This window comes from Homo sapiens, chromosome 8 (assembly GCF_000001405.40).
Source record: "Homo sapiens chromosome 8, GRCh38.p14 Primary Assembly".
NCBI classification, from domain to species: Eukaryota; Metazoa; Chordata; class Mammalia; order Primates; family Hominidae; genus Homo; species Homo sapiens.
The window spans coordinates 122,109,239-122,128,653 of record NC_000008.11 but is presented as its reverse complement, the minus strand read 5'-3'; the positions used below and the strand labels follow the sequence as shown (position 1 = coordinate 122,128,653).

The 19,415-nt window shown below is 35.2% G+C and overlaps 1 annotated feature.

Moving 5' to 3' along the window:
- Nucleotides 1,141-1,795: an enhancer, noted in NCBI's record as "OCT4-NANOG hESC enhancer chr8:123139098-123139752 (GRCh37/hg19 assembly coordinates)". NCBI's record gives its function as "activates a minimal SCP1, AML or CMV promoter by ChIP-STARR-seq in naive H9 embryonic stem cells {active_cell/tissue: H9 hESC(naive)}" and the evidence as "EXISTENCE:reporter gene assay evidence [ECO:0000049][PMID:30033119]".

The following is a 19,415-nucleotide window of genomic DNA, read 5'->3' as shown; positions in this document are numbered from 1 at the left end:
CCAGAATCCATACTACCAATGTGTGTGTATGTGTGTGTGTGTAAATAATTTTCCCCACACTCTATTAGATATCATTTTCTGCCTCTCCAGTGAGATTTTAAAACCTCTAATGAAAAAAAAAAAAAAACAACCTTGCATCTTTTCCTTCTACAGCATCTGTCATAAAAGTGGTTTCAAAGCAGATGCCTGAGATGGTGATTCTAGTTTCATGTCACTAGCACAGCAGGCATTGACTATGCAGATATTAAGAAATACTTAATATAAAATGTAGTCAGTATGTGAAGTGTGATCAGAATCAGAAGAAAATAGTAAATGTTGAGCCAGATTTAGGAAGACACAGTATAAACAGTGGACCATAAATGGCTACAGTCCATATCAAATAAAGTTAGTAGGGATGTGCTTTGGAGAGAATGAAGTGAATTCAGTATGATGGAGCACAGACTATATGGTCAAATCAGCCTAGATTTAAACCGGGCTCCTATTCCCTATCATCTGCATTATCTTGGGTTTGTGAGTCAACTTTATGGGTCTATTGGGAGCAGCAGTTCTTCCTGGCCCCTGGATGTACTGGTAAGTCCTTGCTGAGTATTCCAAACTGCAAAGCCTAACTGTCCTCTGACCTTAAATTGTTATTTTATCTAGCTGTGTGGGCTATTCTGAAAAGTAGGTGAAAAACCCCAAACTGTTGCCACACTATTTATCATTTTAGAGGAAGGCAAGTGTGAATATATGAGGCACAATCAGAAGGTGATTTCAGTGTTCCATGCAAGATATGATTGTAACTTGAATTAGGAGATGTATGAATGGGTGATGAATAAGAATAAGAAATAGAAGGACACTAGAAATCTTTAGGTGCTGTAGGATCACACACAGAGACTGGGAGAGAAAAGTGCCAATTTTTCTTTTATCTAGTTGTGTGGGCTACTAGTACTGTATTACTACTGTATTACTACTTGTTCCCATCATCTGTCAAATGGATGTAATAATTCTACCTCATAGTATTGTAAAAATGACACAGTGCCTAACATTTTGGTAGTCTTTACAGAAATTCTGGTTTTAAGAAATGCAACTTTCCCACATAATTATAGCAGAGGTGTCCTTCCATGAAGTTCAAACATAATCAGCTGGGAGAGTCTAGGCATTTATTTGCTTTTACTTCAAGAAAGATTGGCAGTAGAATGTTGAGCACTGGAGCCTACGAAGCAGAGAAAGGAAGAATGAGTTTGGAAAATGCTGTTTTTAAAAGGAAAGGCTTTTTGCAAAGGCAGAGGCTTTGAGTGACTCATTTTATAATTGTTCACACATTACATCACTGTTGGGTGCTGTGTGCATGCTGGGCTTTAGTGATGTTAGTTAAAGATGGCTTCTGAGAATAGATGAGCATTTATCCCTGATGAATGACACTTAGCCTAATTTACAGAAATAATCAAGTGAGAGCATGGATTTCATTTCCAGAGTCAAAGAAAGAAGTTTACCTGGCTAAGGCATGACACCGCTTCCCTTTCAGATTCCGGTGCAGTCCTCTGACCATATTGGGAAGGATATGTAAAATGATACGAGTTTCAGGGAATAAGAATGGGGGTGAGAGGAATCACTGAGGATGCCCAAGGACAAAGCAGCCGGAACAAGGTAATCACAAGTTACCAAACAAACACCACCTTGAAACCTTTGTCTACCTGACTGCAAAGCTTTCTTTTTGTAATCGTTGACTTCACAAATGCCTAAGCATTTATATACTATGCCCTTAGTCATTTTTAGTTCTTATAAGAATACGATTCACTTCAACAAGATCTCCTAAAATCTATGTTTTCTAAAAACCCTCACTTATAATTTTCCTCTCCCAATTCATTTGCTTTAATTTCAGAGCTTAAAACACATGTGTTTTCCAGGTGGCTTACTTATTTCCTTAATTTGGAAACTTTAAACTATTTTTCCTTCTACTTGAAGACTCAATGAGTTGTACTCTATTTCTCATTATTAAAATTCCCTGAAATATCATATCTCATCCTTTATTCTCAAAGATGATTGTGCCTGTGGGCAAGCAGTAAGAAAAACATGTGTCCTATAACTGTTTTTCCAAAAATAAGGTGAAGCAATTCTATAGAGCTCTCTACACTTTCTTACCTAGAGATTTGCACTCAGTAGAACTTTCTAGGCAAGGTAAGGAGACTGTCCTATTTTTAAAAGATAATTAGTTTTTTTGAAGAATCATTATAAAATTTAACCTAGTCATAACTTGAAGATTCCAAGAGAAAATTAATCCATTTATTCAACAATGATTTATACAATGACTTCTATATCATAGCTCTATTCAAAGCATTGATTATAAAATTAATTATACAACCAGTTCTCAAAAAAATGTGAGACAGTAGAAGAGATAATCATCAAAACATATGTTACTATGTGGTGAGAGTAATGATAGTGGGATATACAAGTTATTGACAGATATTAAGAATAGAAGAATATAGAACTGAGAATTAAGAGTTATTAAGATTTCACCAAGATTAAAAATGCATAAATTGAGTTATAAAGCATGCAAAATAAATAGCTCAGAAGAAGAGTCTCTTCCAAACAGAGATGAATAAGTACCTATGTCAAGAAGCACTGGCAATCGTGTGGAGGTGGGAGTGGACGCAGAGTGAGTGAGGAACAGTTGCATGCTTCAAGAGTGAGCTATAAACCTGGAAAGGTAGGCAGAGGCTGTATCTTGGAGAACCCCACAAGCTACCTTAAGGGGCTTAACTTGTTTATGGCAGGTGATGGGAAGTCATCATGAGGTTCTGAGGAAAAATGACACATTTTGATTTGCATTTTAATTTAAATGCAGTTTATTGTGGATGATATAGTTTGGATGTTTGTCCCCTCAAAATTGCATGTTGAAATGTGATCCCCAGTGTTGGAGATAGGGCCTAATGGGAGGTGTTTTGGTCATGGGGGTGGATCCTTCATGAATGGCTTGGTGCCCTCCCCATGGTAATGGGTGAATTCTCACTCTATTAGTTCATGTGAGAACCGATTGTTAAGAAGAGCCTGGCACCTCCTCCACTCTCTCTTGCTCCCTCTCTCACCATGTGACATGTCTGCTCCCCCTTTACCTTCTGCCATGAGTAAAAGCTTCCTGAGGCCTCACCAGAAGCTGAGCAGATGCTGGTACCACGCTTGTGCAACCTGCGGAACTGTCAGCCAACTAAACCTCTTTTCTTATAAATTACCCAGTCTCAGATTTTTTTTATAGCAAAGCAAAACAGATTAGCACAGTGGGGCACCAAATTAAAGGTAAGGTGGTTGAAGGCAATCTATAAAAGAATTGATGGTAACATTTAATCTTTAATATTGTTTGGTACATATACTTATAACACAAGCTTAGTATAGTGGTTCATCTCTATTTGAGATTCAATTTAAGAAAATATATTACAGTGGAAGAAAACAACAACAATTGAATTTGGGTAATCACTTAATAGCTAAGCTTCTAATTTCTTATATGTAATTTGAGGATGATACCTACCTTAATTTATTTATGAAGGTTTAAGAAACCAATGTATAGACAGCTCCTGTTCAGTGGTCACTGGACTGAATAATCAAAAGACATAGCAGAGTCAAGAGGGTAAGTGTTCTCAGAATGTAAATGTTGGATATGATAAGCTAAAGTCAGTGTGGCTACAGGAGAAAATGAGAACAACACTTAGAAGGAGGAAGTTTATTACATTCGTAGACCCCAGAATGGGAGTCATACATGCCATGCAGGGCTACAGGGAAAGTGCCAGGTTTTGATCGGAGAGCTGTTAAAAGAAAAACTTCAGCTGAATTAAATTTAAAGGAGTTTAATGGAGCAATGAACGATTCGTGAATTGGGCGGCCCTCAGAATCACAGCAGAGTCACAGAGACGCCAGTGCAGCCATGTGGTGGAAGAAAGTTTATAGACACAAAAAGGGAGATGACAAGCAGAAATTGGAAGTGAGGTGCAGAATAACTGGATGGGTTACAGCTCGGCGTACGCCTTATTTGAACACAGTCTGAACACTCAGCAGTGTATGAAGGGTTGAAGTATGGCCACAGGGACTGACCAAGACTTAGCTATTGTTACAGGTGCATACTCCTAAGTTAGGTTTGCAATCTTGTCTATCTATTAAGCTAGGCTGCAGTTCGTCCACAAAAACTCAAATATAGAAGTAAGAAGTCATTCTCAGGCCATATTTAGTTTGCTTTAACAAAGCAGAAGACAAGAGCCAGGGGAAAGTCTATGCCAGAGCCTTTATTGAGTTTTCTGCAGGAAAAGCAAGGTAGGGCAGAGTAAACAGCTTAGGGCTGGCTAGTTTGAATAATTCCAGCATGATTTGGGCTATAGGGGTAGTCTAGTTGCCTGGTACCTGACCCTGAGATGATTTAGGGCAAAGGAAATATTGCCTTGGTGCATGAGAGTCAGATAAAGAGGCAACTGGGGCTATCGGCTAGGGATTGACAGGTTTGTATATGAGAGATGTACCCTTAGCCAAGTCCTTTCTTGTCTCTAAGAAAGGACTATCTCTGACAGCAGCAGTCTATCTCTGGTCAGTAAGCTTTGTAAAATGTCAAGACCTCATAACATACAGAAAGCAAAAACAATAAGTCTCAGGATCACACCATGTCAAGGAGTGCAGCCCATCTGTTAGAATTATACGTATTGGAATTTCACACAAAATTTTACATAGTGGACTGCCATGTATAATTTGTGTTGAATGAAGGTTCATCTATTGAAGCAAAGAAGAAAAAAAGAAAGGGAGGAAGGGAAAAACAAATAAAAAGAGGGAGGGTTGGAGAGAGCAAGGAAGGAAGGAAGGAAGGGAGGGAGGGAGGGGAACAGAAGAACAAGAGCAAAATGAGCCAAAACTCTAAAATCTCTTCATTAGATTGTTCCTTCAATAGTTTAATTACATAAAATTGTATTTTTACATTTAGATTAGTTGTTCTCATTACTCCCACCAGGGGACATTTGATACTCTGGGGACATTTTTGATTATCACAACTTGGGGGCTACTAATAACATTTGGTGGCCAGGGATGTTGGTAAACATCCTATTATACACAGGACAACCTCTTACAAAGAATGATCTGGCCCCAAATGCGAGTAGTGCCAAGGTTGGAAAACCCTGGTTTACATTAATATTATTTTAGATTAGAGTGGGATGGCATTTTGTAAAACAGTTATTCGTCTTTACCTGCTGCAACTGAAGAAATTAAGGCCAAAATAATGAATTATAGAAGCATTCATATATATTAGAATGTTTTGCTTCTAAAAACACATTTAGTCAGAACAAAAATTTATTTCTTAGTTTACATTATTTTTCATAATTTGTTGAAGTCCTAGTGCCATTTGATTTTCAATTTTCTAATCAGATTGGTCACATGTTTAGCTGCTTTTCTTGCTCTTATTTGAAAGGAGTAGGATTTTTAAAAAATGTTGGGGAGAAAAACCCAAAGTCGGCTTTCTCCATAAAACTGTAGGCTTCTGAGGACCCAGTTCACCAACCGGGCAACTAACAGCTTCCCCCATCATATGTGAAATTTATGGTTGTAAAGAGAGAAATGAGTAAGAGTAAGATTTAAGAGGTGGACAGTTTTATTGCTCACTATAGATTGAAACAACAGGAAGGCAAGATTACTACGGGGCAACATTCCTTTTGATTCTGTTATCATGGAAAACAATATTTTAAGCGTAAAAAATAAAAGGGAATGTTGTAATCTTAAAACAAATTTTGGTCATCGTTCAACAAATATAGCCAGTTTGGGCATGTTCTGAGTCAGATGTAAAGGATAAAAAGTGGCCTGATGAAAACAAAGATTTCACTTTTGGGTAGCCTGCAGTAATAATGGATACAGATAAGGAATATGATATTCTGAATAAATTGTGTGTTAAAAATAGTGCTTGGGTGGCTTGGCTGTGTAAATGTAATAATGACAATGTATTAATTTATATTCACAGAAATGTGATGAAAATATGGTTAAATGCATTTTGTAAATTCACCCAAAGAAGTCTCACATTACACTTCTTTTTGCAAAGTAATGTAAAAAGTTTGAGGTTGGTTTTCCTCCTCTTCCTCTTTAATTTTCGACTTTCAATCTTTTGCTCAAATTCTACACCCATCCTAGCAAATACAAAGCACTCAGGGAAAAATCAGTTAGTTGAATTGAATTGACTTGCACACACTGTCTTCTTCTGGCTATTTGTAACTTTCTTAAATAATCCATAGGCTTTTCACTTTTTTCTACTCCTGTAGGTTAAATTACCATTTATCTGCCATTGATTCTTAAAATTGCATTTCTTTCTGGTATAAATCACTATTTATAACATCTTTCTGTGAACTCAACACCTCCTCCATTATTTCATCTAGGCAAATGACTTCCAAACTCTCAGTAATTTGTAAAGGAAACCTTGACTATCCTTGGTTTCCTGAAAGTTAAGTTTAAACTGTCCATATAAAGAGAGATGAAAGTTCTATAACACAATACAGTGACTATAGTTAACAATAATTTATTGTATATTTCAAAATAGCTAGAAGAAAAGATTTGAAATGTCCCCAACCCAAAGAAATGATAACTGTTTGCAGTGATGGATATCCTAATTACCCAAATTTAATCATTATACATTGTATGCATGCATCAAAACATCACTTGCACTCCATAAATAGGTACAATTATTATATATTAGTAAAACAGAGAGAGAAAGGAAAAGAGGGATGGAAGGATGATTTTAAGGTCTTTAGAATGTGGGTCCATCCAGTCTATATATGTGTCAATATGCTCAAAATTTGCCAAAAGAACAAATAAGATACAAGACAGTACAGTGTTCAGGGCATTTATCAGCAATGATCTTGGCAGGAGCTGCTTTGCTTTAATCGTGTGTTGAGGAAAACAATCAGACATCACAAGCGGGAACAAGAATGGAAGAACAGAGGTAATTCAATTTCTATAGTGTTTTTTATTTTACTACCTTGCAAAGAACCTGGTATATAATAGACGCTTATTAAAGATTTTTTGAATAAATGACTAAGCTGGAACTCTGTAGTTCCAGTCTCTTTAAAAGATTAGCAAATATTTATCCAAAAAGGTCCAAACAGTAGATATTTTAGGCTTTGAGGATCATATTATCTCTATCATGTAGGGCAAAGACAGCCATAAAACACCGGTTTCTCATACAGTCATTCATAACAGAATTTCCATAAACTCCTACTTCTGTATCTGTTTAGTTTATAATATCAATGTCTGCATAATCTGCTTTCTCCCACTTTAGAGTGGATAAGCCATTCATACCCCTAGTTAAGCTTTGCCTCTTCCTCTCTTAGCGATTACTTTTTACATACGCAAGAATGCTGCCCTATCAACTGCCCCCCACCTTGTATCTCAATTTTATCTCTTGAATTAATCCTATCAGCATACACACACTGTTATTTCTCACATTTTATTACAAGGGAACTTCTCTTGATTTCACTTCCATCCTCCTGACATCATCTCAATTCTTCTGCTCTCTTTAAAGCCAAGTTCTTTTAAAGAATCATCCATATTGACAGTCTCCAGCTCCTCATTTCCTATTCTCTCCTAAATCCACCACTACAAACAGAATTTTGCCTTTCTTACTGCATCACAAAAAAATTACCCTTGTCAGTGTCACCAATGACTTCGATATTGCTGATGTAATTCTCACTCCTCACATGTTTATCTATCAAAATCATTTAACACTCCACCCTGAAACACTCCTTCCTTGGTGTCCAGGACATCACACTGTCCTTATTTATTTATTTTTTTTCCTACAGTGTTAGCTCTTAATTCTCAGTCTCTTCTCCTTTTCCTTTTTCATGCCTTAAAAGATGAGGTGAGACTTTAACAACTAAGTGCTCTGAAGCATTTCCTTACGCTTCTTAACTTGTCTTTCTTCATATACTTCCTTAATGATCTCATCAAATTTCACGTCTTTAGATAATATATATTTACTGAAAGCTTCCAAATGCATGTTTATAATGAGAACCTCTCTGTTATTCTTGAGACTTATATATTCAATATATAAACAATATCTCCACTCTTTTGTCTAATAGAATCTCATACTAAACTGAACTCCTGATTCCTTCTCATACCCATGCCACACCAAAAAAGAAAAATCCTTACTGTGTTCATCAAATTTATAACAAGTCCATCCTTTCACAAAACTTGGAGTCACATCATCTTTGACTTCTATCTTTGTCCAATATCTCATATCCAATCTATCCTTATTATTGCTTAAGTTTACATTCAAAAGAAATGCATAATGCAATCACTTTTTGTTACTTACAATGCTTCCACTTTGGCCACATCATCATTCTGTTTCACCTAGATTACTACAAATATTGCCCATGTAGAACACCTTCTTCTGTCCTTTCCCTATTCTGCCACAGTCTAATTTCAACAGAGGAGCTAAATTGATCTCTTTAAAATCTCTAATCTAAAACTCTATAATGCTTCTTTCTTTCTGTTGCTTAGAATAAAATCCAAAGTCATTACAATGTACTCCAAGCTCTATATGATCTGGCTCCTGTTAATGGCCAAATGATCATCTTTCTTAATACTTCCCTACTTTCTCAATCCATTCTAACCACATTTGATCTGCATACTCTTCCCAACTATTACATTTCAAATGTATATTTGAAATACTCTTCCCAACTATTCCCAACTCTTCCCATATTCCCAACTATTCCCATACTATTACATTTCATGCTATTTCATCCCATGCTATTACATTTCAACTCTTCCCATCTTCTCAACTATTCCCATACTCTTCCCAACTATTACATTTCAAATGTATACTATTACATTTCCCATGCTATTACATTTCAAACTCAGGGTCTTTATACTTGCAGCTTCCCTTGCCTTCAATTACGCACTTCCCCCGCCCAAGGAACACATACACATCTATATGACTCACTTTCTTATTTCAGGTGTTTGCTCAAATGATACTTTCTGATTAAGACTCTTCCTTATCACCGTATTTAAATTTGCAATCCAGGATCTAGAACTTTGCCAAAAACATAGGGAGTGATGAATTAATATTCATAATAAGTGAAAGAATATGTGCATGTTTGGAAGGAATCAATTAAATTGAACAGAATACTAGTCATGACATGATCTGACATTCCTCCTCCAAATATAGGCTTTTCCCTGTAACTTTTTTGTACTCTTAAGTTTTTAAAATTTTATTTTATTTTAGGATACATGGACATGTTTGTTACGTGAGATGTTGCATACTAGTAGAAATTGGGCATCTAGGGTACCCGTCACCCAAATAGTGAGCCTTGTACCCAAAAGGTTATTTTTCAACCCTCACCCCTTCCCACCCTCCTTCCTTTTGTAATCCCCAGTGTCTTTCAATCTATATGTTCATGCATATCCATTGTTTGCCTCCCACTTATAAGTGAGAACAACTAGTATTTTATGTTCTGTTTCTGAATCAGTCCATTTAGGGTAATAGCCTTCAGTTCCATGCATGTTGCTGCAAAGAACATGATTTTGTTCGTTTTTATTATTGAATAGGGTATCCTTTCTCCATTGTTTATTTTTGCCAACTTTGTTGAAGATCAGTTGGTTGTACGCATGTGGTTTTATTTCTGCGTTCTCTATTCTGTTCCATTGATCTATTTGTCTATTTTTGTACAAATACCATTGCTGTTTTAGTTATTACAGCCTCATAGTATGATTTGAAGTCAGGCAATATGTTACCTCCAGCTTTGTTCTTTTTTATTGCTTTGGCTAATCAGCCTCTTTTTTTGTAGGGGACTTTATACTTGTTTTTTTCTTTTTTCTAATCCTGTGAAAAATGAATGAATTGGGCATTTTAATAGGGATTACCAGTCCCTGTCTAAATGGCTTTGGGAAGTATGGTCATTTTAATGATATTGATTCTTCCAGACTATGAGCACGGGATGTTTTGCCATTTGTTTGTGTCACCTATGAGTTCTTTCATCAGTAGTTTGTAGTTCTCATTATGGAGATCTTTCATCTCCTTAATTAAATGCACTCCTGGATATTTTTTGGTGGCTATTGTAAATGCAGTTGAATTTTTGATTTGGTTCTCAGCTTGAACATTATGAGTATACATAAATTAAAAATCAGAAAGGCTACTGATTTTTGTAGATTGATTTTGTATAATGAAACTTTACTGAAGTTGTTTATCAAGTCTAGGGGTGTTCTGGAAGAGGCTTTAGAGTTTTCTAGGCATATAATTATGTCATCAGCAAACAGAGATAATTTGACTTCCTCTTTTCCAATCTGGATGCCTTTTATTTCTTTCTCTTGTGTGATTGTTCGGACTAGGACTGTCAGTACTATATTGAACAGGAGTGGTGAGAGTGAACATCCTTGTCTTGTTTCAACTCTTCAGGAGAATGTTATCAACTTTTCTCTAGTAAGCACAATGTTGGCCGTGGGTTTATCTTATATGGCTCTTATTTTGATGTGTGTGTGTGTGTGTGTTTTTTTGTTGTTGTTGTTTGTTTTTCTTTGAGATGGAGTCTTTTTTTTTTTTTTTTTTTTTTTTTTTGAGATTGAGTCTCACTCTGTCACCCAGGCTATAGTGCAGTGGCGTGACTCACTATGCTCACTTGGCTCACTGCAAACTCTGCCTCCCAGGTCCAAGTGATTCTCCTGCCTCAGCCTCCCGAGTAGCTGGGATTACAGGTGTGCGCCACCACACCTGGCTAATTTTTGTGTTTTTAGTAGAGGTGGGGTTTTGCCATGTTGGCCAGGCTGGTCTTAAACTCCTGACCTCAAGTGATCCACCTTCCTCAGCCTCCCAAAGTGCTGGGATTACAGGTGTGAGCTACCACGCCAAGCCAGATGTATGTTTTTTTGATGCCTAATTTTTTGAGGATTTTTATCATGAAGGGATGTTGGATTTCATAGAATGCCTTTTCTGCATCTATTGAGATGATCATATGGTTTTTATTTTTAGTTCTGTTTATGTGGTGAATCACATTTATTGATTTGCAAATGTTAAACTATCCTTGAATCCCTGGAATAAAACCCACTTCATTGTGAATAATTATCTTTTTGGTTTGCTAGTATTGAGAATTTCTACATCTATGTTCATCATGGCTATTGGCGTGCAGTCTTGTTTTTTAGTTGTGTCTGCTTTTGGTATCAGCATGATTCCGGTTTTATAGAATGAGTTAGGGAGGAATGTCTCCTCTTTGATTTTTTTGTAATAGTTTCAGTAAGATTGATACCAGCTCTTCTTTGTGCACTTGGTAAAATGTGGCTGTGAATTCATGTGATTCTGGGCTTATTTTTTGTTGGACAATTTTTTATTATGGATTAAATTGCATTATTTATAATTGATCTGTTCAGGGTTTCTATTTCTTCCTGGTTCAATCTTTGGAGGTTGTGTATTGCCAGGAATTTATCCATTTCCTCTAAGTTTTCTAGTTTGTGTATACAGAGGTGTCCATAGTAGTCTCTGATGATCTTTTATATTTCTTTAGTTTCAGTTGTAAGATCACTGTTATAATTTCTGATTGTACTAATTTAAATTTTATCTTTCTTTTCTTGGTTACTCTAGCTAGTGGTCTGTCAATTTTGCTTATCCTTTTAAAGAACCAACTTCTTGATTGGTTGGTCCTTAAATATTTTTTTGGCCTCAATCTCATTTAGTTCTGCCCTGATCTTTGTTATTTCTTTTATTTTGCTAGCTTCAGGTTTGATATTTTTCTAGTTCCTTGAGGTGCAATATTAGGTTGTTAAATGCCTATCTTTTTGATGTAGGCATTTAATGTTATAAACTTTCCTCTTAGCACCGCTTTTGCTGTATCCCAGAAGTTTCCATGTGTTTCTGTTTTCAAAAAAGTTTTATTTCTCCCTGAATTTCATTGTTTACCTAAAAGTCATTCAGGAGCAAATTGCTTAGTTTCCAGGTACTTGTGTAGTTTGGAGAGTTCTTCTTGGTGTTCTTTTATATTTTATTTTGCTGTTGTCTGAGGAGATACTTGATATGGTTTCAATTTTTTAAATTTATTGAGATGTGCTTAATGGCCAAACATATGATCAATTTTTGTGAAGATTACGTGTGCAGATAAGAAGAATGTATATTCTATAGTTCTTGCATGGAATGTTCTGTAAATGTCCTTTAGGTCCATTTGGTCTATAGCTCAGTTTAAGTTCAGAGTTTCTTTACTGACTTTCTGCCTTGATGCTCAGTCTAGTTACCTCAGTGGGGTAATGATGTCCACCACTATTCACAGTATTGATTTCAGTCTCTTTTCTTAGGTTTAGTAGTATTTATTTTATGAGTCAGGATGCTCCAATTTGGGGAACATATATATTTACAATAGTTAAATCTTGTTGTATTGAACCTTTCATCATTCATTATATGATACCCTTTTTAATCTTTTTTTTAACTGTTGTTTGTTTTAAGTCTGTTTTCTCTGAGATGAGGATGTCTACTCCTGCTTGCTTTTGTTTTCCATTTGTGTGATATATCTTTTTCCACTCCTTTATTTTAGTCTATAGCTGCTTTAGCCAACAGGTAGGTCTCTTGTAGGTAGCAGATGATTGGGTCTTACTTTTCTATCCAATTTGCCACTCTGTATCTTTTAAGTGGAGCACTTAGGCCACTTACATTCAAAATTAATATCAATATATGAGGTTTGATTTCTGTCATTGAGTTGTTAGATAGTTGCCTTAGACTTTTAATTGTATAATTGCTGTATAAAATCTGTGAGCTTTGTATTTATGGGTCACTTTATGACGGCAGGTATTGTCTTTTCTATGTTTAGAACTCCTTTGAGCATTTCTTGTAGTGCAGGTCTAGTGGTGATGAGTTCCCTTAGCATTTATTTGTCTGGGAAAGACCTCTTTTCTCCTTCAGTTATGAAGCTTAGTTTGGCAAGATATAAAATTCTTGGCTGGCATTTTCTTTCTTTAAGGTGGCTACTATAGTCTTCTGTTCTACCAGCTGTGCTATTGATGGAAGCTATAGTCTTAAATCTTTAAAAAATGTTAGTTGTTCCCCAAAATGTTTCAACAGAAACCAAGAATAAAATATGTACGGTGCTGTGTTTCTACACCACTCTTAGTTATAGAGCTCATTATAAAATCAAATTCCTTAACATCTTGATTATATTTAGCATTAATTTTTTGTAATAATTATATAACTATAAAATCACAAAGGCTCTAAGTAATATTTTACAGCCTATAACAGATTCAAGTACTAACACTGGATTTCATAAGCTTCTAAATATTGAATATTCAATCTTTTCAATTCAGTAGTGTAGAAAATTAGTTTTTCTTTTGAAGTCATTGCCCCTTGGGTGGAAAATAAGTATATCTGCCTGATGGCAGTTTAGTAGAAAGGCAAGATAAATGCATCTTGAACGGCACCAGTAGTTGTTTCCTTCTCTAGAGAGTAATTCATCTCTAATAACCTCCAACTCCTGTTGCTATTTGAATCAGAGTAGGACCAGAGAGGACCTGGGTTTGAGGTTTAATATTATTTTGATAGGGACCTTAAAAACAAATCTTTTCAGAGATTCTCTTCATCTATAATTATGCTGTTTGTACATTTTCCAGACAGAGTTCCATTAATCTAAATGTTGCCCTACAGTAACCAGAGATTGGATAAATTATCAGCAAGTGCCAGATGGATCTGAGTTTGAATTTTTATCTCTAACAGCCAGATATATGATCCTGAGCAAAACAAATTTTCTCTCTCAACCTCAGACTCCTCATTTGAAAAATACATAGTATAGCCACTTCACAGTGTCTTTATGAGCATTAAGTACAATTTATGTCATGTACTGACCACATGACTTTTTAGAATATTTGTTAATTTAATTCTTTCCTTATATTTACAAAGAAAGGTGAGTGGTTTAGGCCTAAAACCCAGAAGTTAGCATTGGTCCATAGAGGAAGAAATGGTAGAGATTGAAAGTTTTTGTTCTCACCAAAATGTATATAACAGCTTGAATTTTTGTCTATTGTTTTCAATATGAGGGAACAGAGTTCCCAGAGCAAAAGATTCACATTCCCATCATATTAGTTTTCTAAACCAAAGCTTATTTATCATTTCAGTACATGTTATATTTCCTCTTTGCTAATTTTTTCCCTAACACACAAAATTAATAAAGGATCAAAGTAAAGATTTATATGCACATTTTAACAAAAGCTGATGTATATGGAATTCTTAGGTAATGATCAGTTATATTCATTCTTTGATCCTCATAACAATTGAAAATGGATATTAGTATTATTACTTCCATTAATAGTTTTAGGAAATGGTGAAAAATATCAGGAGACATGCAAGATCCTAGTCACACTGTCACAGAACTGAAGTTTGAACCAGTATTTTGTTTCTAAGGAAATATCTCATTTAAATTATATGATTATCTTTCAGTAACCTAAATTACTGTTCATTACTACAGATAAACAGCAACCTAAAATGAGGAATGCTATGTAAGACATGACTGGTTTTAAACCCACTGTCCAACAAACCTTGTTTAATATATTTTCTGAGGTCAACAAGTATCTCTGAAAAGTTCCCACATGTGTATTTTGAAAAAATTAATTCTGAGTTAATATAATTGTAGGATTATAAGATGCTAGAACAGAAAGAATCCTGAGAGAATATCTGGACCAATATCCTAATTTTACAGATGGAAAAGCTAATGCCCAGTGATAGCAACTATCTTGCCTAGGATGTCCCAGCCAGTTAGAGGCAGAAGCAAGAAAAAAGCATGGATTTACTGCCACTTAAACATTGCCTCCATCATAGCCCACTTGTATCTGTGAATCTGTTCAACATACGTCTAATGCTATATTCTCAGGAAAGCTCTACAGCACAAAGAAAAGAGATTTGTGTCCACCTACTACTTATCTATCTGCGTGAAATTGGGCACGTTCCCTACAAACTATTTTCCGCACAGCAAAAAATTATATAAAATATAAAATACATTAAAATAATACCAATTTAAGAAATGCTTTAATTTAGGGTCTTTAAAAATCGGACCCCAGGACCAGAGTTTGTGTACATGTAGATCTTAGCGAAGGTGATCCTGGGAAGCATAATGAGGAAGTAGGGACCTAAAAGCAGGAAGGGAGGTGCAATACACCACAGCTCTAAATGGTGTATTAATGGAGAGTTTACCAGAGTGGGTGACTAGGTCTCCATCTCTGGGCTAGTCTGAGAAATCATATGGAAAATAGCTTAGAATTGTCCCACAAGATGGCAAGAAAGTTGGGGATTTATACAGCAATTCTCATAGTTTATTGTCTGCATTCTCTCTTTACCTCTGGCTTTTTAAGCCTGCCCCATGTGATAACTGATCATGTCCCTGCAACCAAGGAAAACCCTAAGGCAGCAAAATGCAGGGGCATAAGGTACAAATCCACTTGAATATATAGAAACTGCAACAAATTCGTAAGTGACCTAGAGGATTTGCTGACCTGCATGGTTAGAACTGCATGGTGTTGTGTTGAATATTGACAACACAATCTTTAATAAGTTATGTCTATGTTCTTGGAATAACTTGTACTTATCATAGTATAACATACATAAAATTTTACAGTAGTGGCTTCTTAGAATCTATATTCTCCATAAGATCTGAACCTATCAGGACCATTCCGTCTTACTAACCTATCACCTGTATCTTGGATAGTTCATGTTAGATGCTCAGTAGATATTTATTGGTTAAATGGAAGAAATCTGACATTTCTTTAACGGGTTTCTTGAGATACAATCGACATACAATGAATTGCATATCACATACATTCTTAACTGTTGATATATATTCTCATGAAATTACTGCTATAATCAAAATAAAGGTCCTTGAGACCTATTCACTGCAAGCTGTGACTTTAATTATTACTCTCCTCTTCTGAGAGGCATTTCCATTTTAAATGAAAACCTGAAAAGGCTTACTTAACATAAAGCAATGGGTTACATATGGTTAAATGACAACTAGTATTACATCTTAGTAGAATGTGGGTTGATTTGGGGAAGGAGGTCTCCAGGGGTCATTTTCATTGATCAACAAGTAACATAGTCTTTTCTAAAGTTGGCTTTGAGTCTTATTAATAACAATGAGTTATATTTGTATAGGATACTAATGATTACAAAGTGCTTTCACATTATCTCATTCAGACTTGCAAAGAGCTTTTAAGGTGAAATTAGCGCCAATTTACCAATAATAAAGTTGACATTAAGGCTGGTCAACAACTTGTTTTCTATTAAAAGCCAGAAGTGGAATTTGAGCTGAACTATTTGACTTTCAGTTCAACAATCTGTCCTTGAAACATAGCTGCATCTAGTTTAAATAACAAATTCCTTGAGAGCAATGAACTCTTGCCTCTTCTTACATAAAACCTTCCTGAAGTAATCATCAACACTGCCTGATTTATGGATGGGAATTTTGTGCATTTTAAATAAACATTTAATTTCAAGCGTTCAGAATGGAGAGAAAAAACCTTGTAAAATAATATAGTGGCTTTTAAAGAAAAAAATGCCATCAAACCCTTGGTCTGAACCACTAGGATTCATGTTTGATTTCTTGTCCTGTTGAACAAAGAAGAGGTGACACAAAGCACTGTGTCTTATTCAAGAGTGTAGTCACATCCCAACATTCTTGACATCCCTTGAGCCTGGATTAGTTTAATAATTTGCTTACACATCATTGATCATTCCCTTCAATACCTTCTTGGAAGACTCAAACCTCCTTCAGTGTCTTCACAACTTCTATGCTGGAGTTTGTGGCTCCTGTTGTAAGGGTAGCAAAATTAGCCCCTGTCTTTAAGAGGCTACCAATCTAATTAGGAAAGAAAGATTCACAAATTGTTAGAAAGAAACAGACATACCAGTATTTTGTATCTGCTAGACACAAAAAGAATTGATGTATCTTACTTGTTTCACAGACTTTTTTTAAAAAACCTCAAAAGTCACATATTATACTCACCTTTTCCTAGATCAGGACACAGATTTATGATAAACGGACTTGGAAAAACAGCTAGAAAATGATAGAGACAGGGTTTAAATTCTAATATAATTCCAAAATTTTGATCTCTCCACTAATCCAAAATGAAAGGTAAAAACCTGTACATATATATTCTATTGTTTTACAAAAAATAGGTACCAAGGTAATTCAAAGGGGGAAGAATGGTTTTAAGCACTAAATAGTACTGAAACAAATAGTACTGAAACAACTGGACATCATGTACAAAAAAATGAGCCTCAGCCCTTAACTCATGTCTTAGACAGGGAACAACTAAATGGATGATTAACTTGAATATATAAGAGCTGAATTTACAATAGTTCTAAAACAAAACATGGGGGAAACTTTCATGGCTACTGATTAGGCAGAGGTTTCTTAAACAGGATATGAACATAAATAACTTAGAAAAAAATAAATTGTGCTTCTTCAAAAGTAAAAATTTCTGCTTCCCAAAATATACTGTTAATAGATTGAAAAGACAAGCTATAGACTAGGAGAGAAAAATGGGCAAAACACCTATTTAATAAAGGCATTTTAGAATATATACATACTTTTAGGAATTAATATGAAGATAATTCTTAAAATAAGCAATAGATTTGAATAGACACTCCACCAAAGAGTATGAATGGCATGAAAAGATGCTCAAAATCATTAGTCATTAGGAAAATGCAAATTAAAACCACAATGACATGTCACTACATACCTACTTGATATCTAAAGTTTGAAAAATATCATTGACAATACCAAGTTTGGTGAATATGTGGTGCAACTACAACACTCATACATTGCTTGTGGTAATGCAAAATGGTACAGGCATTTTGGAAAAATGATTGGCATTTCCATATCCTGTTACACATACACCTACTTTGTAACCCAGCACTCTAATTCAGAATTATTTCCAAAGAAAAATTTCTCCATAAAATGATCTGAATGTAAATACATAAACCTTATTCATAGGAGCCAAAATCTGGAGCAAAGCTGAATAGCCATCGGTTTTGTAAATATATAAACAAATTGTGGCATTTTTGTATAATGAAATGCTACTTAACCATTAAAATAAACTATCAATACATAGAACAATATGGAAACATCCAAAAGGCATAATGCCAGAAGACACATATATTGTACAGTTCCATTTAAATGACATCTGAACAAGGCAAAAACTATGGAGACAGAAAATAGGTTCAAGGTCAGGTGTTGGGGTGGGAGAGTACAGGAGTAACTACAAAGAGTCATAAGGAAACTTTCTTTTGTGGTGAGGGAAATGTTCTATAACTTGATGGTAGTGTTAGTTAAAGGACAGTGTAAATTTGTCAAAGTTCATCAAATGGTACAATCAGAAGTAGAATTTTACTATATATAAATTACTCCCAAACATCTGATTTAAAAAAGAGGATACAATGTATTAGTAAATGCTAAAAGACTTCAGAGAATATAAAGAAATACAGGAAATGAAATAATGCATAGACCCCTTGTGTGCAAAAGGGATAAAAGACATTCAGATGTGGCTCTATAAGAAGGAGGTGACCATTCATTTCCTGGAGTAGACTAGTGTGGACCGTCATACTTCGTGGCTGGAAGGAGAAATTGATGTGGCAAGCATAGGAAAGTGAATAGACCATGGCCACTACAATTGAGGATATGTTAGAAAGTCATTAATTCAAAGTTGGTTAGGAAGTCATAAATTCAAAGTTTGTTAGGGAGAGTAAGGCCAGATTGGTCATGAATATGGTCATTATGTGGCTATGGATGTCTGATCTTACAGAGTGGCCAATTTAAACTAACAATTGACATTCATTGTACAAAGTTGAGGCCATAATGATCATTTTTGTAGTTAATTCATGGCTTATTCATATCAGTCTCCAAGCTGGATTCAGGCATTAAAGCTCACATAGAGGAATTTGCAGTAGGCAACTTGAATTCAACAAGCAGTGACCACATGATAAACATTAAGAAAAGCACTTAGCACATCTTAATTTATTCACACAATCATAACACAAGGTTAATATTATGTGCACTTAGGAAGAAACTGAGGATCATGTAGCTAGTACTGCTGGCTATTTCATGCCTCCTGCTCTTCAGGGCTATTGTATGAATTTTCCTTTTATTAAATTACTTATTCAGGAAACATTTTAAAATTATCAATTATATACTGCATCCAGTTAATAGTACAGGCCCATTTTAAACTCAAATCTTTGACTAAAACCCACAACTTCAAAAATTATCTGTGCTAATAAAGTAGAAAATAAGAGTCAAGAGGTCAAGAAAAAGTCTACATCATTTTGATTTTAATCCTGTATATATTTTATGTCCTTAAAAATATACTTAATGTTAATGCATCAATCAAATGAGGACGTGGAATTAAATAATCTCCAAGGTTCTGTCATGCTATGTTGTTCTATGATTTCAACTTTACTCAGAATAGAAAAAAATTGGTGA